This window comes from Homo sapiens, chromosome 8, assembly GCF_000001405.40.
Source record: "Homo sapiens chromosome 8, GRCh38.p14 Primary Assembly".
Classification (NCBI taxonomy): domain Eukaryota; kingdom Metazoa; phylum Chordata; class Mammalia; order Primates; family Hominidae; genus Homo; species Homo sapiens.
In genome coordinates, this window is record NC_000008.11 from 91,426,556 (window position 1) to 91,450,801 (window position 24,246).

General features: G+C 36.5%; 1 annotated feature.

Annotated features, from left to right (window-relative positions):
• Positions 18,972-19,539: an enhancer, noted in NCBI's record as "NANOG hESC enhancer chr8:92457755-92458322 (GRCh37/hg19 assembly coordinates)". NCBI's record gives its function as "activates a minimal SCP1, AML or CMV promoter by ChIP-STARR-seq in naive H9 embryonic stem cells {active_cell/tissue: H9 hESC(naive)}" and the evidence as "EXISTENCE:reporter gene assay evidence [ECO:0000049][PMID:30033119]".

The window sequence follows — 24,246 nt, forward strand, 5'->3', positions numbered from 1 at the left end:
GAGATGTTTTGATTTTCCTTATCTCCAACTGCAATTTTTCAAAGAAGAGCTATAACAGAGCTGACTCTTTTAAACTAGACACCACAGCTCAGAGGAGGTAGACTTTTTCTTTCCCTCTTATTGCCTTTCCCTCTTCCTCCTCCCTCTTCTGATGTATGTAAAATGCTAATAAGCTAAAAAGAGTTAACTGAGCACAACTTCTTCCTAACTTGATATTCTTGCCTTTGGCCAACCATTTCTATTTTTCACTTTCAGTAAGCTCAAAAGGGGTAGATGAGGAATAGTGAGACAAATTTAAGAACATTCCTGGAGAAACTTAGAACAGATTTCTTTTTGTCTTTAATATTTTTCAGCAGTGATAGAACCAAATAAGAAAGAAAGAGATAGCAGTAGTAATTTGGTTTTGGTGCTGGTTATGGGGCACTGGAGGGAACAAAAAACCCTCTCAAAATATTACGCTTGCAAGTTATGCAAATTGGATTTAAGTTTTATGAGAGAAAAAAAAGTTCCAAAGAATCAGTAAACAAAAAAAGAAGTCTTATTTTGGTATTAACCCTTCTAAAAGTATTATTTGATGCACTAACTTTTCCTCAGAGGTGCTTATTGAGATTTGCACATTGTAGGCATTCAATAATTATGGGTTAAATTATTTTTGATTCAGGACAGGAATTGCATCAATTTTATATGAACACCTCATTTTTACTTGAATATTAATCACAAAACAATAAATGATGCAGCAATAATTATTTTATGATTATTATTATCTACTGAGTACCTTTAATTTGCCTGCCATTGAAATATACATATATTACTAGGTATTTCTCTGAGGTAAGAGAACTTTCCAGATGGCTCAATTAATTTCTTAGAAACCAGATAAATCAGCTATTTGATCAGCAGACATCTGTTATCAATACTCTAAAATTTGATAAAAAAAGATGTTTTACTTGTGGTAGTATTTATCTTTGTAAAATATACACATATAAAATAAGATAAACACTAGAAAAGATTCTAAAATTTTCACTAAAATCTTCACCTTTTAGAGAGAAATATTTTGTTTGCTGCAGTAGTGAGAAGGAAATTAGACAATGTAGTATTTTCTATATTGTGTTTCTTCCTATAAGTAAATTCAGAAACTTTGCTTTCTTAATATAAATTATTAACCTCAACTGGCAAATCCTCTTTTTTAGGATATTATAATGACGGATAAGATATATATGAGTTTAGGGTTTTAAAATATTTAAAATGAACTGAGCCAGGTGCGGTGACTCACACCTGTAATCCCAGTACTTTGGGAGGCCGAGGGTGGATGGATCACCTGAGTTCAGGAGTTCAAGACCAACCTGGCCAACAGGGTGAAACCCCATCTCTACTAAAAATACAAAAATTAGCCAGGCATGGTGGCACACACCTGTAGTCTTGGAAGGGTGAGGCCAATCACTTGAACCCAGGAGGTGAAGGTTGCAGTGAACTGAGATCATGCCATTACACTCCAGGCTGGGTAACAAAGTGAGACTCTGTCTCAAAAAATAAATAAATAAAAAGTAAAATAAAATAAAACGAACTGAAAAAACTGGACAGATCCTAAGTGACAAGAGCAAGTCAGTTTCTATTAATCTCAGATCTAGGTGGTTCAGATGAGCCACAATATGACCAGGAAGCTAGCAACCTACCGCTTTTTGAAAGTTGGACAATTTAATACTGGCAAAGACTCAAAAAATGCTTGAAGTATGGAGTCTATGGGTTTGAAGAAGCTTTTGTTTTGTCTATCTAATCAAATCTTCTTAAACTTTAATTAAGAGAGAATATGAGAGGGATAGAATGTGGATCACACATAATGTTATTACATTGTAAGTTGGAATCATAGGAGCAGCCAAGACATTTATTGAAATTTAGTTTCAAAGCAGTCTACATTGATGTTCTATTATAACAATTTCATTTCTAATGTATCAAATGGTGGATGAAGATGCACTTATCTGGTCTGATGGATGTGATACTAGGCAAAGGTGTAGTGCTCTGTGCTTCCTTGTTTAATAATTGAGCTTACACTTTTCCCCCAGAGAACAACTATATACTACATTTTCAAATAATTTGCTATCTTTAAAATTTCCATTCAGTTCACAAGACAATCATTACTGCTTTATTATCAAATAAGAATGTCATAAGATTGATCATAAAAGAATTTTTAGAATTTGGTCAGCAATTTGCCTTTGATGATAGCACTGTGGAGTGGTCTGTAAAAGTACATAGGGATCTGTTATAGATCGAGTTGTATTCTTCTGCCCAAATTCATGTGCTGAAGCCCTAACTCTCAATGTATTTGGAGATGGGGCCTTTAAAGAGGTAAGGTTAAGTGAGGGTATAAGGCAAGGATGCTATTCAATAGGACAGACATCTCTATAAGAAAAGGAGCAATACCAGGAATGTGCACGCATAGAGGACAGGTCACGTGAGCAAACAACACAAAGGCAGCCCTCTGCAAGCCAGAAGAAAGTCCTCACCAGAAACCAAGTCTCTGACATCTTGATGTTGGACTTCCAGCCTCCAGAACTATGAGAAAATACATTTCTGTTGTTGAAGGTTCCCAGTATGTGGTATTCTGTTACGGTAGCCTTAACAGACGAATACAGGATCTTGTAGGATATCAACTTCCGAGTGCTGCCTAAAGCTTCAACTCTTCTTAGTTCTCCTAAGTGACTAGTTATGGACCTATCACAAGCTTGTTTATCAAGATGCTTCTTGAACTTAGGGTTTTACATATTTAAAATGGATAGTTTAAATATTTTCAGTGCTGTCTTTGAGTTAGCAAGTTCTGTGCTTGTTACCTACTTTAAAATGTGTGTGTGGTTTTTTTGGAGACGGAATCTCACTCTGTTGCCCAGGCTGGAGTACAGTGGCGCAATCTCGGCTCACTGCAAGCTCTGCCTCCCGGGTTCACGCCATTCTCCTGTCTCAGCCTCCCAAGCAGCTGGGACCACAGGTGCCTGCCACCATGCCTGGCTAAGTTTTTGTATTTTTAGTAGAGATGGGGTTTCACTGTGTTAGCCAGCATGGTCTCTATCTCCTGACCTCGTGATTCACCTGCCTCAGCCTCCCAAAGTGCTGGTATTACAGGTGTGAGTCACCGCACCCAGTCTAAAATGTGTTTTATTGTAATAAAATATACATAACATAAAATTTACAATTTTAATCATTTTTAAGTGTGCAGTTCTGTGGTATTAAATACATTGACAATATTGTGCAACTATCACCACCAGACATCTCCAGAATGTTTTCATTTTCCTTAAGTGAAACTCTATACCCATTAAATAACTCCGCATTCTCTGTTCACTCAAACACTGGTGACCACCTGATATGGTCTGGCTCTATGTCTCCATCCAAATCTCATGTTGAATTGTAATCTTCAGTATTAGAGAGGGGACTGGTGAGAGATGATTAAATCATGGGGGCAGACTTCCCCCTTGCTGTTTTTGTGGTAGAGTTTTCATGAGATCTTATTGTTTGAAAGTATGTAGCACCTCTCTCTTCGCTCCCTGTCTCTCCTACTGGCCATGTGAATATGTGCCTGCTTCCCTTATGCCTTCTGCCATGATTGTAAGTTTCCTAAGGCCTCTCTAGCTATGCCTCCTGTAGAGCCTAAAGAATTGTGAGTCAATTACACCTCTTTTCTTCATAAATTACTCAGTCTCAGGTAGTTCTTTATAGCAATACAAGAATGGACTAATACATCATGCTTCTGTGTTCTGTCTCTATGAATTTGACTACTGTAGATACCTGCTACAAGTGGAATTATACAATATTTATCCTTTTGTGACTGGCTTATTTCACTTAGCTTAATGTCTTCAGGTTCCATCTATCAGGGGCTATATTTAGAATACTTACAATTGACATTATGTGGACACCATGTTTTGAACCCTATAGTTACTTTATACAGAGGTCTAAGGTTGGGGTCTCAAGGTAAGTTCTAGGTCCACAAGATGAGAAGGCACTAAGAAGCTAGAGGAAAAGGCTATTCACCAGGTACTTACAGACAATTTTATTATTTTTAAAACTAGTGATACCACCTAAATATCAATTCCCTTCTTGTGCATCATGACTTTTTCAAGAGTCACAAAAAATTTTATGTGTGCCTCTTTGAAATATACTTACCTATAGGAAAAAAAACTAATGAATTTTTGGATGGAGTGAATTTCTCTTCATTTACCATGAAAGGCTGGTCATGTTTAATGAATATAATAATACTATTTTTAAATTGCTTGCTAGAATGACCATCAAATTTCAGCTAGATTTGCAATCATTTGCCATGACAGCTTATTTGGTCACATGATATTTTCTCTTTTGAAAAGCAGTTATCTATCCTTAAAAGTTAATAACCTCTAGACTGGATATGCATCACAATTTTATTTATTTATTTATTTGAGAAGTAGTTTTGCTCTTGTTGCCCTAATCTTATTTGTCATATGTCTCTAGCCAATGGTTTTCTCTTGATGATGTACTTTGTTCTCATGAATTCACAAATTTGTAATATTAGTCTACATGTGATCATTATATATTTTAATAATAGCTTTATTGAGATAAAATTCATATGCCATAAAATTGCGTTTTTAAAGTAGACAATACAGAGGTCTTTGATATATTCATAGTTATGCAATCATCGTCACTTTTTGATTTTAGGTGGTTTTATCACCCCCAATACCCAATAGCAATCACTGTGTATTCCCTAGTGCCTAGAGTCACTATCCTACTTTCTGTCAGTATGGATTTGCCTATTCTAGACATTTTATATAGATGGAAACACATAGTATGTCTTTTCAAACTAGCTTCTTCACTTATCTGAAAGTTTTTATTGTTCATTTATATTGTGGCATGTATTAATACTTCATTATGTTTTATTGCCAAGTAATATTCTATTGTATGAACATACTATATTTCATTTATTCTTTCCTATTGATATACAGTTGGATTATTTCCACTTTTGGGCTATTAAACACAATGCTGCTATGAACACGCATATGCAATTTTGTGTGGACATATGTTTTTATTTCTTTTAGGTACATAGCTAGAAGTGAAATTATTGGGTTATGGGAAGGATTTTTTTATTTCTTCAAATTTACCCAACTTTGTGTATGATTAATATAAATGTCAGTTGTTTTCAGAGTGTATACGTGTGCCTTTACACTTATATATATATAGATATATAATCTATGAGTGTGTATTTATATATACAATTTCACATCTTTATGAAAGTGAATACTTAAGTTACTGAAATAAATATTTAGATATCCCCTGTACCCACAACAATGTCATCTATGGATTATGCTAGAATCTTGGATCCTGAAACACTAACTTGAACATTTATGGATTCAACCTACCTTTATGCTTTATCATGGTAACTTCATGAGCCTATTGGCTACCATAGTTAAAGTCCTCATCTCTAAAGGGCTGTTAATAGGATAGAGTCAATTAAATAAATACTGAATGTAAAGAATCCACGATGTGCCTAGGAAACCTTAAGCTTTGAATATATGGCATAAACCCTTATTCTTCAGTATATTTCAGCCTAATTCCTGAGTTTCTTCCTTTGCTATGAAATTTTGTATAAATTGGAAAACCAGCAGTTGGTATTCAGTTTAAATGGAATAATCATCAAAGGCATTTTGTTGAATTAGCTTTTAAAGCACTTAATTCTAATTCATATTATGCCTGATGTGTAAAGAGGCAATAAAGACAAAAAATAACTTTACGTCGGTTGTAAACTTTATTCCAAAGATAAATTGCTATCATTATCACTAATAACATCTCTCTATATAAATTTGATTCCTTAAATTTTGAGAATATCAGAATGTCCTTCTGTGTGCATAAATTAGACCACCCCTCAAAATGCAGCTCTAATAGTACTCTTCAAAATTGAAAACAATCTTTTAAAATGTATTTTAGAGCAAAGCTAAAAAGCACCCATCCTTCTTAAAAATATCTAAATCCTATCTGACTTTTGAATCATTCTCAAAATTCACATTAAAAACCTCTTTTCCTTGCAATGAGTTATTCCTGTTACTGTTCCTCTTCAGAGAATCATGATAAAACAAACAAAAACCTTTAAATATTCATCTAACCTTTCCAGTGGTTCCTGTGCAGTATAATCAAATACCACTATTTTGTAGTTAGTGTGTCTCTCCCCATCCGTGCTCGGATGGGTGTTCTGAAGTGGTTTAAGTAACTTCCAAATATACCATGATTCACAGTTGATATTCTTTTGGGGCTTACAAGTAAAGCCAACAAACAGTGCAAATAAAATGTCAAATAGCAGGATGGGGCCACTGGTCAACACTTGTAACTCCTACAGTATAGGGAGATAAACTTTATGAAAACACAGAAAGTACCTGTAGAATGCTAAAAAAGTCAATGCCATGAGCTAAGTCTTGGAGAAGTTGAGCTCAACCAGAAAGTTATTTGGGCTACATTTATCCTGTAACTTCTTTTGTTAATTTCCCAGTGGCATTGCCATGAAAGAAAAGGCTGTACTCTGCAAGCCATTGGGGGATGCAACTTCTGAGAATGAGCATGGGGGTTCTGGTATTGCAGAAATCAGTGGGAGATGTTAAATTCTTCTGCAGAAGACTCTATCCTTAAAACTTAAAAATTGTGAAAAATTTCAGGTATATAGTGAAATGCATCCCTAGTTTCTGCAGATACAACAAATAATGGGGGGTGGCAAAAGAGGGAGGAGGGCTTGGAATAGAGTTGACTCAAGAGTTATTCAGTGACTAGTACAGAATTTGATGAACTCAGAAGGAGACCAAGGCAAGCTCAGGATAGATGAATTCTATCAGCCACTCCTACTGGAGGGTTTCATCACTGCCAGAGTGAGTTGGGACTAGGATTCTGGCACTAAATCCAGAACCACTCTGTTAGATTTGTATATGATTTTAAAGCAGTGGAGTTCACATTATGTCTCTATTACAATAGCAAAGTATAAGCTACTAAATTTCATGGTGCCTTAGCATTCTTTACATTTTGTGTAAAATGGAGATGATGACATTACTTCATCAGAAAAGTTATGTCATCAAGATATTTGATTCCATCAGTTTCTACACATTTCCCTGCAATGCTAGAATTCTTACAATCATCCTTAATAATTGCTTGCTCCAGCTATTGCAAATGACAGGGCATAGTATTTTCTCTCTGAGCAGCATCACTGAGGGGTTAGGAAAAGAAATTATACAGGATATCCTGGCACTTAGTTGAAAGAAAACAAGACAATAATAACACTTCATGGTGTCAGAATTACCTTAGACTTTATATAAAGCACATAGAACCCTATTGACACAAAGTAAGCATTTACTAAATGTTAGTGATCATATTTACCCTTTCCTGTTTTTTTAAGTTTTATTTTTAATTAAAACATAATTGTGTATATTTGTGGATACAGTGTAATATTTCGATAAATGTATACATTGTGTAATGATCAAATCAGAATATTCAGCAGATTATATTTGTTCCCGTCTAATTTTAATTACTATTTAAGAAACAACATAAATTTACTAAATAATATGTTCATTCTTAACAAATGCAAATCGTGCTATCTTTGTGAAGTTCTGATACCAAAGTCCACTTCAGGTATTATCAGGGGGCATTATTTCAGTTGCTGGCTTCAAGCAGATGATTGTCCTTGACATTATTGTGCTTCCAGCGCTGGCCAGGTGAGCAGTGTCCCTTACAGATCATAGCAGCGTTAAACACATTCTCTTCCTGGTTGAATTGCACTTTATGTCAGCAAAGCCACTGGGATTGGGATTCGAGTTCATTGCCTTGCCATGGCGGTTTTGCCATGCACGTTTCTCTTCATGGCCCTCAATTTAACTTTCAATCTCCATATAACGTTTGTGTTGAAAAATTCTTTTTATGACTTCTAGAATATTGTAAGATTACGGGCTTTGCATTCTCCGGCAAGCAACATTTCACTCACCCATACTAGGCTTTCATTTCTTCTAGGACTGACTATTTTAATTTGTTCCTGGTGGCATTCCAGATTGTTTGCTAAACTGGCTGCAGATGGTTTTGAATGTGGCTGCTGCCGGCATTGTTACTAAGACGTGGTCTATAGATCATATTTCTCCTATCTTACAGTCTTTATGTTGGCTGCCTCTTGGACAGCATAGGGTTTTTAAGAATCCTTTTAATGACCTATAGAGCTATCAATGGCCCTAATTCTGTTTACTTTTCTGACTTTTAAACATTTTTAAACTTTAACACAGACTCTTCACTTATCCAATATGATGTTGTCATGTAGAGCATAACTGGTAGAGTGGATTGGTAACTGAGTTATCATTCAGACTGGTTTCAGCCTGTCCCAGGCTCCAAAAACCAGAATGATTTGAAGGGTGCATAGAGAGGAGAAATTTTGTGGTGAATAATTTTAGATGTATTTAAGGATTAATAATTTTACTTAATTATCACCTTACCTTCTTGAGATGCCTTTGGTTATTTTTAAAGTGTTTTTTTTCTTATCTTCTTTCCAAAAAAGGTAAAAATAAAAAAAGAATGCAATGGCCCCTCAAATGCGTATTTAACTTGTGAGGTTTAGAGCAATCACTGAATAAAAGTGCTAGAAGGAGATACTGCTGTGTATAATGACCTTAGTTGTTTTGAGAAATTTTTTAAAAAGTAACCTACTTATCTTGAGGACATACAAACTGTAAAGCCACAAAGTGCAGTGAGTCATTTTTGGTGCACCATATGACTTTGTAGTTGGGATTGTCAATTTTTTTTTCTGGATACGAGAGGAGGAAGAGGATGTAACTAGTCCTCTGTCCCACCTAAATTATCACAGCTAGGAGGCAGGATTTGTTTGTGATTTCTTGCGTTGTTTCTTTCCTATCTCTTCATAATTTCTCATATAAAATTAGCTGGAAATTAAATGGAAAAATTTTTTTTACATATATATAGTTGTGTTTTTCTTTCGGAGGGTAGGGTTTGGTAGATAAATAACTATTTTTTTCCAAGTTTGGGAAGCAGTTGAGAAATCAGATGTAGGAAATAGAGAGCTAGAGGTCAAGTATAAGCTTTATTTAGAAAAATGTGATTGAAGAACATGGCTATAGATCTGCAATCAAATAAACCTGATAATGCTTTCTCTCTCTCTAAACCTAGACTTTAGAACAGCCCACATGAAGGAGGGTTTTGTCTTCAGAGCAGTCACACCTAGAATACTGCTTCACATTGGATCAAAGCCAAGAAGAAAGAAAACAATCCTCTCATCCTCTATGATTTCAGCTTTTTAGAAAATTAGTTTGAAAGAGTTTTTGTAGGAATGGTGTGTTCGATTATTTGGCTTACTGCCTCTTGCTAAAAATGGTAAGATATAGTGGAATGAGCACATATATATGGGAGACTGCCATAACAAATATTAAATATTTTGGAAAAGTTAAAACTTAAAGAAATAAGCAGAATAAACAGACTATGAGAGCACTAAAATTGTTTTTTTGTTAGTTTATTTCATGCTGAGGGTAAACGTGACAGACTCTTGGACCTCTTGGAACAAGAAAAACAGAAGTTAAAACCCAAGATTTTGTGTTTCATAAAAGATTTTCTTGGCCAGGCGCGGTGGCTCATGTCTGTAATCCCAGCACTTTGGGAGACCAAGGCGGGCGGATCACGAGGTCAGGAGATCAAGACCATTCTGGCCAACATGGTGAAACCCTGTCTCTACTAAAAATACAAACAAATTAGCTGGGCGTGGCGGCGTGCACCTGTAGTCCCAGCTACTCAGGAGGCTGAGGCAGGAGAATTGCTTGAATCCGGAAGGTAAAGGCTGCAGTGAGCCAAGATCATGCCACTGCACTCCAGCCTGGCAACAGAGCAAGACTCCATAAAAAAAAAAAAAAAAAAAATTGTCTATAGTTTAAAGACTTCCTCTCACATTCAAGTAGGACCTAAAATGTCTCACTCTGAGGAGGTGAGGGTAACCTATAACTAAAGCTGTCGTTGTTTATCTCCCCAAACATGAAAAATATACCTTGGGGGGCAGTGAAGTAGGAAAATAGAAAGAAAAAAGAGAAAATATCTAAAAAAGTGTGACAGGAGACCAATATTCCCCTTTAGTTTTGTCCCCAGGTTTGAGATGTTTCCCAGCTGGTAGTGCCATCAGATGTCTCTGGTATAGGGCATATTTGTCCTGGGCTTTAGGAAGTTTCTATGCAATAAAAAAAAAATACAATGCCTACCATTCTGCCAAATGTAAAAAGGCATAAACAAGGCACTATGAGCGAGAAGCAGAAGAGGTAATAGCAGCAGAAACAGATTTCACATATTAGAATTATTTAAATATTATAAAACTTCTGTGATTTCTATGTTGAAAGAAAAGAAGATGTCTGCTTCTGATTATGAAAGGTTAACCTCTACAGGACTTCCCCTACCTTTGTAAATAACTAGAAAACTAGAAAAAAGTACAAAATAACTTTTCTTAGATGTTGAAAAGACATCAGTGCAAGCTGATGTGCTCTGAGTGAATGGAAACAAAGACAGTAAGCCATGCTATCACAACAGCTGTTTGTCTTGTGGCAGTTTCTGAATTGGTACAGAGTTTGGAAGCCCAAACAGAGCTCAGAAATTTTACCAACATGAAGAGTCAAATAATTTTCAAGCAAATTCTGCAAGAGAACTTCTGCGTGGAAGAAAGAGCTATGCAAGCAAGAGCTGTGGAAATCTACATAATGATTTTCTTGAAGCTTTGTCTTAACATCCACCTTTACAAACATAGGGTAAAACCCAATGACTGCGCAAATAACAATGATCATAAAAAGAACAATTACTAGGGAAGAGTAAATTGACCAATATTAAGAGTTCACAAAGGCTGGAAATCATTTGCGTTTCCAGTAGATGGAAGAGACCATGTTGAGTATATTAAGTGGAGACTGTGAAAGGGTCACATGTTAGTAGCAGGACTAAACTTAGGTTAGAGTAAAAGCCAATCTACTCAGGCCCTACAAAATCCTAAAACAAGGCCTATAAAAGATCAAGCTGATTCACAAGTGCTCTAATTGCCTGCCAGAATAGCTCACAACTCTAAAGTAATACAGTAAAATCCAGTTTCAATTATGTAAAATTTATGCTGTTTAGAATGTAATAAAAGTTACTAAACATGCAAGGAAGCAGAAAATAATAACTCCTACTAACTAGGAGAAAAAGCAGTTAATAGAAACAGACCCTGAAATGACAGAAATGATGAAATTAGCAGACAAGGATTTTAAAAGCGTTCTTATAAATATGCTCAATGTGCTCCAGAATTTGAAGGAAAGTAGTAAGAAGGTACCAAAGCCAAATATATTTATAAGACAATTGGAAATCTAATTCTGAATAGTTGGTGATATAAATAGTTTTATAATTTAATTCATGATAATATTATTGTAATTATTTTTGAAGAAATTATTTATTTCAGAAAATTACATTAAAATATTTATAGATAAAATGATACATAATAGGAATTGCTTCCACTTTTATGGGTATGGGAGAAGTTAGATGAGATATAAATGAAGCAAGACTGGCTATGAGGAGCTAATTATTTAAGCTGTGTGAGTTTTGAGTGTATTCAATTACTGTATCTGCTTGTGGGTAAATAATTAAAGAAAACTCGATGGAAATGTTTTTCAGCAGAAAGGATGAAGAAACTGAGAATGAATAAACTGGTAAATTGGCCATAATTTAAACAACACCTGGAGAGACAAGTAGAAGAAAAACAGAGTGAGAAAGGTGAGAGGACACTATAGGACTTTGCAATATTTGATTAGAGCCCCAGTAGGAGGGGCAGAGATAATATTCAAAAACATAAAGGCCGAGAAACTTCCAGACAAGAAACTTCCAGAAGTGAGAAATTCTTCAATTTACAGAATCAAGTTACCCAGAAGATTCCAACTATAATAAAATTTAAAAATCCATGCCTAGCCATAATATAACAAAATTATGGCAAACCAAAAAGAGGAAATACCTTTAAAAACTTGAAGAGACCAAACCCAAATTCTGCTTGAAGTACTGAAAACTGTAAGTTTTACTCAACTGTAAAAGTGGGAGAAGTTTCTGTAAGTAGAATGATATTGCTAATTTTCCAGGGAGAAATTGTCCACCTAGAATTTCACACCCATCAAAAATATTTTTCAAAGGTAAGAGTAAAATAAAGATATTTTCAAAGCAATGAATCTGAAAAAAATTATTAATAGAAGTCTCTCACTGAAGGATATTTTAAAGGTGCTTAAGAAGAATGATAGTGATCCCAGATGGAAGTCGTGAAATGCAAAAGGGAATTAAGGGGGAAAAAGGGTAATAGTGTGAGCAAATGCAAATAAACATTGATTATATAAGATACTTATAATAATATCTAATAGAGTCAACAATTATTGAATTGAAATATATGAAAAAATATCAAAAATATCAATCAAGAGGGATAGAGTTAAATATTCTCAGGCCCTTGTGTTATCTGAGAGGACAGTAAATGTTTTGATTAATTTAGTTTTATATGAATGTTGTAATTGCTAGGATAACCACTAAAAGAACACAGCCAGATGGAACAGAGGAAAATGCTAAAAATATCAAGCAATACAAAAGTAAGCAATAAAGAAGAGAAACAATATTGGCCGAGCAGTACCAATGGATGATAGATTTAAACCTGAACATAACAGTATTTATACAAATAATAATAACATAAAGGTTAAATTAAAATATAAATATTTTCTGAATGAATTTTAAAAATTCCAATCACATTATTTAAAAGAGAAACAGCTAAAACCTAAAGATAAGGAAAAGTTGAAAAAGTGGAAATAGGAAATATATAGTAGGAAATTATTAACCAACTGAAATATTTTGTAGGTATAACAATAGACAAATTAGATTTTAGGCAGAGACATTAAGGGAGGTAAAAAGGATTACTTCAATAAGGAAAATATACCAATTTAAATCTTAAATTTCACTTAACATTGCTTCGAATATATAAAACAAAAATTGCCCATTCACTGAACCATAAAAGCTCAAAAATTTTAAAGAATTGCCACCATACAGGGACTATTATCTGATAAAAGGCAAATAAAAGCTAAAAGTCAATATAAAAAGCAGAACTAGAAAATTGTTAAGTATTTGGACATTAACTGTTGTGAGTTAAAAAGAAATGAAAATGAAAGTAACATTTTTGACTGAATGATAGCAAAATATTACATATAGAAAATGCATGATGGAACTGCAGTTGTACTTACAGAGCGGTTTATAGACTTAAATACCTATATTAGAAAATAAGAAAGGTTAAAAATAACAAAATAAACATCTATCTTAGCAGTTAGAAAAGGACAACAAAAGAAATCCAAGCAAAGTAGAAGAAAGGATGCAGTATTCATATTTATATCACCAGAGATTAGTGGTATAGAAATGTACAATCGTAAAGATTAACAAAACCAAGAGTTGGTTTTTTGTAAAAACTTACACAAATTATGAATATCTGGCTATTCTAAAATACTTGTAAGTCAGTATTCCATCAGGGGACAGAAGCTATATTGCTAATTTTAAGAGATTATTAGCTAGTAGCAGGGAATAGTTTACCAAGGGAGGTAAACTGTAACCAACCTGGAAATAGCAGATATAGGGGCAGCTTTGAGCTGAGAGAAAGTACCCAAGGAAGGAAGAATCTTGGAAGAGGGACCCTGGCAAGGATGAGCTTCACATCTCATGGAGAGGGTGTGGCTGTGGCCCGCTGCCTGTGAAGAGAATTTGCTAAATGCCACAGGCCAGACCTGGGGAACAGGAAATCATCTTCTGGGGGTGACACCAAAACTCACTAGGAAGCTGCCTGCTGGGTGCATTGAAACACCCTGGAAAACCATTCACTGAGGTGCTGCTGAAATCACTGAAGAGTGTGTCACTGGGAGTTTCTGATGCTGCTGGCTGCTGTAAACCACAGAAGTGAGAAGAAAACTCACTGGAACCAGAAAGAAAAGCCCCTTCTTACAGCTTTCTTCTAGTGCTCTCTACTGACCTAGTTTAACATTGTGCTAGCTGACAAAGGAGAAATATGTACAAGGTCTAGCTCCAGTACTATAGAGGTAGGGTGATGAAGGATAAGAGATCAGTAACTGGCAAACATGAAATATTATGTGATAATATAAGTATGCAAATTGTAGGTGCCAGTAATATCTTTCAAATATAATGTTAACTTAAAGGAGAAAAATCACAGAAGAATGATTATACTATGACTCTGTTTTATACCAAGTTGAAAAAAACGGCAGTGAATTTATAAAGTATAGTAAGAACATAATTGCCATAAAGTCACTGTCATATTCCAGAGAGGGAGGAAAAACGCTGTGAGCAGTTAAAGACACTTGGTGTGTTTCAGGTGGGGCCTGATTGTGCCACCTGAAATTCTCTTTCTTGATCTCTATAGTGGGTATAATACATGTACTTTATCACAATGTGTTAAATTATACTTATATGTTAAATAATGTTATTAATATAGGTACACCAGTTTCCTGTGTTTGTCTGGAATATCTTTTTCTAGTTTTTACTTTCAACCATCTTGAGTATTTAGATGTGTCATATTTCTGTCTAGAGAGCTCAGGGGATTTACCAAAGTGGTGATTGAAGAAAGAATAGTTTTCACATGATATGGTGGTTTGGCTGTGTCCCCACCCAAATCTCATCTTGAATTGTAGTTTCCATAATCCCCATGTGTGGTGGAAAGGACCCAGTGCAGGGTAACTGAATCATGAGGGCTGTTTCCCCCATGCTATTCTTGTGATAGTGAGTGAGTTCCCACAAGATCTGATGGTTTTATAAGGGGCTTCTCTCTTTGCTCGGCACCCATTCTTCTGTTTCCTGCTGCCATGTGAAGAAGGATGTGTTTGCTTTTCCTTCCGCCTTGAATGTAAATTTCCTGAGGCCTCCTTTGCCCTGCAGAACTGTGAGTCAATTAAACCTCTTTTCTTTATAAACTGTCCAGTCTCAGGCAGTTCTTCATAGCAGCATGATAATGGACTAATATACCAGAGAAAACACTAATTCCTAATTTTGAAATGTTATATTTTGAACATATGAATCTTTGACTGTTAGTGCTATAGCCTGTGAAGTTTAAATTTCTTGTTGTATCAATAAATAAAATGGAACTCAGAGAGGTAAATTATTAGATCAAGGTTACATGACTACTAGCTGTGGCTAAAGGCTGGACTTATACAAGGTCTTCTGGCTTTCAGTTCAGTGCTATTTCCATTACCCTGTGATGTTTTAACTATTGCATACCTTCAAAGAATGCATCACAACATCAAATGGAGTCTAAATGGGGTAAACATGTTGACCTTATATAGTTCTATATATAATTTATGTCCTAAAGAGGCCCATTTAACATGCTACAGAGAAGCAGGCTACTTTAATCACTTTTGAAGATTGTAGTCAAGCAACAAGAAACATACATATATTAATTTCATCTAACTAAGCTAACTTAGTGAAGTGAAGGTTGCTTTCTACTCATTTGATCCTTCCCTCTTTAGTAACTAACGTGATATAGTATCTGTAGGAGTTTCCTTACTTCATATCTATAGAGAAGCATGGATGTAGTGTGTAAGACCTAATGAGTACATTTCTACAAGGCCTTTCATTTTCTTCAACCTGAGAATTGGTTCCACTCTTTAGATAAGTAGTTTTGTTCAAAATGATACTATATATTCTTTCACCAACCCCCTGAACCACATTTTACTCAATATAGTTCTGACTTGGCTTAAGATTTTATATCTCCTTAATCTCTATGGAACAGTTTATAGCTGCCTATTCAAATGGGTTCTTTTGCTTGAGAGTATCAAAAAAATTCACAGCCAATTTGAACTAAATATTAATTATTGTCTCATGAAACTTAGAACTCCAGGAAGGAAGCCAACTTCAGGTGTAGCTCATCCTGGAAATCAGACATTATTATTAGGGTACTCGCTCACTGTTCTACTTGTCCCTATTTGACCTCATTCTGCAGGTGAACTCTCACAATGTGCCAGTCAAGATGGCTTCTCTCAGCCCAGACACATATTTTTTGGAGTCCCTGTCAGCTCCAGTGAAAAGCTATAGAAAATACTCTAATTGGCTTTAGCAGAATCATGTGACCATATTGGAAATGGCCGGCCTTGGGTAATATTCTCTACCTCTTGTGTGTAGACGAAGGTATGGTAGTTTGAATGAAAGCCTGTTGGGATTATAAGGACCAGAGACCTTATTCTCCAAAGGAGAAACAGGGTGCTTTAAAAGCAAAGAAGGGGAATCAAGGAACATATTGCTATGACTAAAATCATAGCTTTCATAGTCCATCTATAAGGTCAAAATTACTGTTCTGGAAATCATTTGTCTTATTGTAGTGCAGCTCATATATCATATATTCTATACATGCACAAAGAATAATGTTAAAAATGTCATTTGGAAGGAAGCATGCTTAGAAAACCTATATATTCTTTGACTTACAAGATGTTTTAGTATTTCATTTAAATATAAAAAATCTTAGTCTCCATAGGTGCTCTTAAACATTTCTGATGAAAATATAAATTGATATAACATTTATAGAAAATATTTTTCCATTGTGTAACCAAAAGACTTAAAAGTCTTCTTGAGATTTGACCTAAGTATTTAACTGCTTCAAGGTAATTATCCTAAAGAAATAATAAGGAACGAAGATAAAGATCATGTAGAAGAATGTAAGTTATAGGGGTATTCAAACTAATGAAAGTTAGAGGCCGGGCACAGTGGCTCACGCCTGTAATCCCAGCACTTTGGGAGGCCGAGGCATGTGGATCACCTGAAGTCAGGAGTTTGAGACCAGCCTGGACAACATGAAACCCGGTCTCTACTAAAAATACAAAAATTAGCCAGGCTTGGTGGCACGCTCCTGTAGTCCCAGCTGCTCAGGAGGCTGAGGCAGGAGAATCGCTTGAACCTGGGAGGTGGAGGTTGCAGTAAGCCAAGATGGTGCCACTGCACTCCAGCCTGGGTGAGAGAGCGAGACTCTGTCTCAAGAAAAAAACAGAAAAGAAAATTAGGAACAGATTAAATGTCCTAATCTAGGAGAATGGTTAAAAAAATGATAGCATGTCCAAATAATGGTATATTATACAACAATATAAAATGGTTTTGAATCTAGTTTCTTTTTTCTCAGAAAAAAAAGAAACTGGATTCAAAAGCATATACTTATAATAGTTCGTATTTCATGTTTGTAAATGGTTATATTTATACAGTTACACAAAAGTATAATGCTTTTCTGGGGAAGGAGGTTATATGTGGTTCTGCATTATGTTTATATTGCTCTAATCTAAATTGATGATCTGTTGTTATAAAATTTTTAGAAAAGTCTTAGTCTACTGAAAAGTATATCCTTAACTTTAGTGATTGTATTCGTCATGATCAATTAAGAGTTCTAGGTGCCTTGCCAATAGCTGTGCTGCTATGACAATATAATTCCTTCCCATAGAGCTCAGTGCAAAGTGGAGCTGCTTAGAGAAGCTCTATCACCTCTGAGTACTTCAGTGTGTTTGTCAACAAGCACAGTGTTAAGCTGCTTTGATACCCGGAAGGAGAGGGTAGAATCAAAGTGACTAAAAAAGGAGTCTGCCTTTATTATTCCCAAAGGGTACTAAAAGATATAAGCTTCTTGAGGGCAGGGTTGGTGTCTGCTGTGCCCATCAGATTATCTGTTGCATAGGGGATGTTCACTAAGTAGGCATCAAATGCATCATTTTCTCACTCACAGAAAGTAACAACTCAAGTAACAATACCAGATAGCTGTGAAAACATCTCCTCACTCACTACCTCTTTCTTTGAAATATTTAAATGTTGGCACCTCTGAAGAGATGCTTGTCAGTTGGCATTTATGGAGACAAGTGTCATGCAATATGAGGTCTACAGCTTCTCCAGGTGACTCTCACCCTTTCTGACAGGATATGCTATGAGAAGATTGTCATTCAAACAGCCCAGAAACAAGAACTGAACAGCACTAACATCAAACAAAAGCAGCCCCTGGATTTTCTGACAAACCAGAAATAATTTTCCAGATGCAGGCAGCATACTCAAGTTGGCATTTGTAAGTTCTGACATTTAGCAATAAATATTGGGAGGGAACCATGTCTGCAGTCTTGGGGGTGGCTGAACCTTAGTTATTTGATTTATAGTGTTCCAAATCAGAACAGAAATCCCTTCCTTGCTTCAAGTACATGCTGTATTCTTGGCAATATATATAGACCAAATGGAGCTTACCTAAACCTGCTTTCCATTGACTTCTACCCTCATATTTTCTTCTATGAAGCAATTGAAAATGACTAAAGGCAGCAAATAAAACCTGTGGCCAGGACATAGCTCTGCAGTTGTTTGGCAAAGGTTAGGCACACTGAGTGAGTAACAAAAGGAAAACAACCTAGGAATCCACAGATCGAAAAGATTTAAATACATTTGTTACAGCAAGTACCCAAATACCTACTAAAGAAATTACTGTGCAGGGGTGCATGCCATAGGGATATTTTGTGTATATGACAAATAAGGAAAATGTTCCTAAATCCTTCTTGGACTAAAGCCCGATACCCATTCTCTGTATTTAACAGATTCTCAGAAGGCATGGCAGAGTTGAGCTGTCTCAGCCATTGTGTGCCAGGGAAGCATCACCTAGAGGTTTGGAGCAAAATTGAGAGTAGGATCATTTGAAATCAACAGGGTACAAAGTAAGCAGAGTAGCATAGCTCCCAGCGGCACACTACTCGCTGCATGACCCACATTTAAACAGCAGCTTCCTGCTGAAGTCAGGCCATAAAGGGATGCCTGAAGGAATCCTGAACAGGACAGGGAGGAAAGGTGGGAAAGAGATGAATACACAGTGTCTGGAGTTAATAAACTTCATTTCCTCCTAAGGCTCATGGCCATGGGGTAGAAAGAAGAAGGCTGAAGGCAAAGGTAGGTGTTCCTGGGCAGGTAAGAATCATGGGTGAGGGGGAATGCATCATGCTTCTCCTGTAGGAATGCTGATTCCTGAAGGGAACTCCTGAGGACATCTGATGAACACTGGAGTCCTTGTGGCATTGTTCATGCAGGGGATGCTAACACGATGACAGACAAGCAGGCAGAATGGGGAAAAGTGAGCCAGTAAGTATGCTCACCAGTGTTAACGAGTTGTTTTTGCTTTGCTTTGAAACTCAATCACCTTTGAAAGGTTCCCACCTTCAAAAAGCTGAGTAGTTTCTTTACAGCAGTGGTTCTCAAACTTATCTGTCCATGACAATCACCTGGAAGGCTTAGTAAAGCACAAACTTCCAGGGCTCTGTATTTAAAGTTTCTGATTAAATATTTCTGGGGTAGGACTTGAAAATTTGCATTTCTATTAGGTTCAAAGGTGATGCTGATGGTGCTGGTTTGCGCAATGAAACTGAAAACCACTGCTTCTAGCACACAGGGATCTGGGGTGTGTTTATAAATAACTTTGATTCAGTAAAGATCTTTCTGTCTCAGCTTCCTAAAGTATCAATTTCATTAAAATACTAATAGAAAAAAATAAGTAGAAAGTAAGCATATTAATGTTTAGTAATTCCTTGGAGTATGACAACTGGCAGCTTTGCCTGTCACATATTTTGTTCTTTGGTTTCATTTGCCCATGGGGAATATGAACTTAGATATTCTGCTTGTCTCCCCTTTCTGTTGTAACCATCTCCCTACTCCTAACTGAAATAGCAGCACCAGGTTTTAGAAGCCTATGGCTGTTATGTCAAGACCCCAACCCTCCCTGTAGCACCAATGCTATGCCACTGGGGCAGCAAGGCAAATTCAAAGCGAACGACTGGCAAAGATGATACATTTCTCTGGAGACTCTAATGCATTTTTTGCACAACCAGCTTAATTAAGAATCCGTGGCAATATATTAACCACAAGTTTATGGATCTCAATATGCCAATCAAACATAATGAGATAAATGCAAATGTCAAAGCACAGACTCTTTGCCTAGGAATATCAGAAGGCTTAAAGCTGTACCCTCAGTCAGTTGTCAGAAAGCAATGGGAATGGCTGGGCCTGAGGAGGGCAGGGTTTGCCCACTGCAATTTAAAAATCCATGGCATGACCTCCAGGACTGAGCTCTCACATATCCAGGGTATGAAAATAAGACTAAAGGCCAGGTGCTGTGGCTCACGCCTATAATCTCAGCACTTTGGGAGGCTGAGGTGGGCAGATCGCCAGAGGTCAGGAGTTCTAGACCAGCCTGGCCAACATGGTGAAACCTCGTCTCTACTAAAAATTCAAAAATTAGCTGGGCATGGTGGCGGGTGCCTGTAATCCCAGCTACTTGGGAGGCTGAGGCAGGAGAATCGCTTGAACCCAGAAGGTGGAGGTTGCGCCATTGGACTTGAGCCTGGGTGACAAGAGTGACTCCGTCTCAAAAAAAAAAAAAAAAAAAAAGAAAGAAAGAAAGAAAGGAAAAGAGGAAAAGAAGGCTAAAAATGGTTAGTTTACAGCCTCACATTAAGATGATGATGATGATAAATCTCAAGACGCTCACCTACTTCTGAAGAATGAAGAATAGGGCTAGAAGTCAGGAGCCAAAATCCACATTTGCATCCCAGGTCTGTCACTATAAGACAAGCCAAATGACATCCCTTTGAACATCTAGTGAAGTAGGAAGGCTGATAACTGCTTGTTTTATAATAATGCATATCAGTAAAGAAAGTAATGGATTTAATTATATTATTTTATCTTCTGAATGACTAGGTTAAAAAATGGTTAAAATAGAGGACTGTCATCTGTTTGGTGTATCTGGCTCAGGGCCAGATTTGATGAACTTATAACGGTTGAACAACCTGCAACATAAAGCTGGCTAACAGATGGTTGTTAACTTGAAACGTGTGTTCTGGTGGCTGAAGGGCTCGGCCTTGCTAGGATTGGTGTTGTTCGCTATTTTTATTCAATAACAAATTGAAAGCATAGTTATCAAATTTATGAGTGACACAAATTTGGAGGAGACAGCTAATATCTTCTGTGAATAAATTAACAGTGAAATATATTTTCTTTTCAACTTGGTAATAAAGTGACTTTAATAAAACATACTTTAACAGAGAAAAATATAAGGTCCTTCACCAAGACAAAAAATGACCCAGAAAGCAAATCCTACCAATAGGATAGGTGACTTAAACGTTATATGCATGGAAAAGACTTGCTTTTAATATTAAGCGTTTATGAGATTTAGCTTCTAAGAAAGTCAGTGTGATTTTTTGTTGCCTTTAATGAATTATACAGAATGACTGAAGTGATAGTTTGCTGTAAATTAGCCAGATTATATCCTGAGCATCATCCACATTTCTGGACAACATTTTTTGAGTACAGAGAAAAGCAACCAGGTGGGGGAAGGGAAAGATTTCACATGAAGCATGGTTGAATGAACAGAAATATTTTAGCCCTTATACATGAAAACTAAAAGGACAATTAGAGCTCTGATTTAAATTACTTAAAACTATAGTCATGGTGAAGAGAAACTATTATTTATTTTTGTATGTAGAACCCTGGAGAATATAATTAGAACCAGAACTTAGGGAGGCAAATTTTAGGTCAGCATAAGAAAGAAATTCTTTCTTTTAAAAAATGCTTACCAAAATGATACATTGGTTACAGAGGCAAAAAATGCTGCCAAACATGTAATTAAAAACTACGGTTATCTTCTCCCTCTCCACCCTAATCCTTGCTCCCCGCAGGCAACCTCTAGGGAGTTATTTTACGTACTTTCCTGGTACTCCCTCTATTTTCCAAATGTCATGCATATTCTAGTTTAAAAAATTAAATCTAATGACTTCTATAGAAAATGAGATTTTGGTTCTCTATTATTCTCCCTTCTCCTTCTCCATTCTCCCAATTTAGTTAAATAACTGTTTCTGCTTAAATCAATAACCAGGATGTACTTTATGTAAATAGTTTATGATTGAGACATATAAAGTATTATGAGTATATTTTCTTTCTTTTTTTTTTTTTTTGAGATGGAGTCTCGCTCTGTCGCCCGGGCTGGAGTGCAGTGGCACGATCTCGGCTCACTGCAAGCTCTGTCTCACGGGTTCACGCCATTCCCCTGCCTCAGCCTCCCAAGTAGCTGGGACTACAGGCACCTGCCACCACGCCCGGCTAATTCTTTAAATATTTTTAGTAGAGACGGGGTTTCACCATGTTAACCAAGATGGTCTCGATCTCCTGACCTCGTGACCCACCTGCCTTGGCCTCCCAAAGTGCTAGGATTACAGGCGTGAGCCACCGCGCCTGGCCGACTATATTTTCTTATAGAATGATTTGTCTTCCTTAGAATTAATAACAGTTTTTTGTTTGTTTTTTCCCTTATGTAATTTGTGTTATTTCATCCCCAAACTCTCTAGGAGAGCTGCATAACTTAAATCAATACAATAAAATGCACTGGTCCATCTCTTAGCACTATTTTTTCCCAGCAAAATTCTCTCTGAAGTCCTCAGCTCAGTGGCTTCCATCCTGATGTAGCTGTGGTCCGTCTGATTCCCTTTACTTCCGTTTTGACTTTTACAGTATCCTCTTTCTTGTTTTATTCCTCCATTTGGTGGAACATTTTTTCTGCAGTAGTTTCTTCAGAATAAATGTATGAGAACTAAATTTTTCAAATGGGCATCTATTCCTCTTTAAGTTTGATTGATAATATTCCTGGGCTTAGAATTCTAGATTTGAAATTACATTACTTCTAAATTTTGAAGACATTGATTTATGCTATTGTTTTCCAGCTTTCAGGATCTTTGTTAAGAACCCGAAGCCCTTACATGCATGCTGCTTTTTTACCCACTTCTGAGAAGATTTCAGTAACTTCTCTTTTTTTCTTGTTAGTCTGAAATTTCTCAATGATTTCCATTGGTGTAGAACTTTTTCATTCATTTTGCAAGGCACTTGGGAAACTCTTGGTTTTCAGTTCTTAGAAAGTCTTTCATCATCTTTTTTTTTTTTTTTTTTTTTTTGAGATGGAGTCTCACACTGTTGCCTGGGCTGGAGTGCAATGGCGCGATCTCGGCTCACTGCAAGCTCCGCCTCCCGGGTTCACACGATTCTCCTGCCTCAGCCTCCCAAGTAGCTGGGATTACAGGTGCACACCACCACACCTGGCTATTTTTTTGTATTTTTAGTAGACGGGGTTTCACTATGTTGGCCAGGGTGGTCTCGAACTCCTAACCTCACAATCCACCCACCTCGGCCTCCCAAAGTGCTGGGATTACAGGCGTGAGTCACCAGCCCGGCCCTTTCATCTTCTTTATTAATTTTTTTGAAAGCAAATTTTGCCCTTCTGTTTTGTTTTTTTGTTCTCTTTCTAGAATTCCTATTAGTCAAATGTTGTACTTTCTCAATCTTCTAATTTTCTCATATTGTTTTTCATATTCTCTTTCTTTTCATTTTGTTCTATGTTTTGGAGAGTGCCACAAATGTGTCTTTTAATCAGTCTATCAGAGTTTTCATTTTCATTACTGTAGTTTGAATTCCAAGGGCCTCTTTTTTGTCTTCTGAAAGTTCTGTTCTTATAACATCCTGCTTTTTATTTTATGAATACAGAATTTTTACCTCTTTAAACAATTAATGTTAATATTCTCTACACTATGTGTCTCTTTCAAGTTCCTTTATTCTCCATGCATTGATTTGGACTGTCTTTCATGTTAGAGAGTTTTTTATTAAAAATGCTGGAATATCCTTTCATATTCTTGAGTGAGTGTGTTAGATTTGGTTTTCTGGGAAATAGAGTTTGTGCAGCAAGTTTACTGGGAATTCCCTTGAAATCAACACCTAAGGGGGAAAGTGTTGAGAAACTGAATTGGAATATGGTTGCAACCAGTTCACAGACAATCACATGGAAAGCACTGGGGTTTGGATGTCTCCTCACAGAGGTACAAATTAAGCAAGTGGGCTAGACTTATTTATCCCATACCTATAAGTCATTAGATTTCGGCTGTTTCCAGGGAAGAGGTGTGATCTTATGAGAGCCATCTCTCTTCACCTGCAAGCGATTCTCTAAGAGGGAATCAGCTATAATCCATAAGCCACTAACACTCACACAGTTGACAGTAACACCTCAGTCCTGAAGAGGACTCAGGGTGATACACTACAGTATCTTCTATAGCAAGGCACTAAAATGCTATCATGCAGATGAGGTTAAGCAAATGGTAGATCTCACTACAAAGTTATTTCAGGAGAGGGAATACTATGAGACAGCCTCAAATGTCAGTATCAGAGGTATTTCTC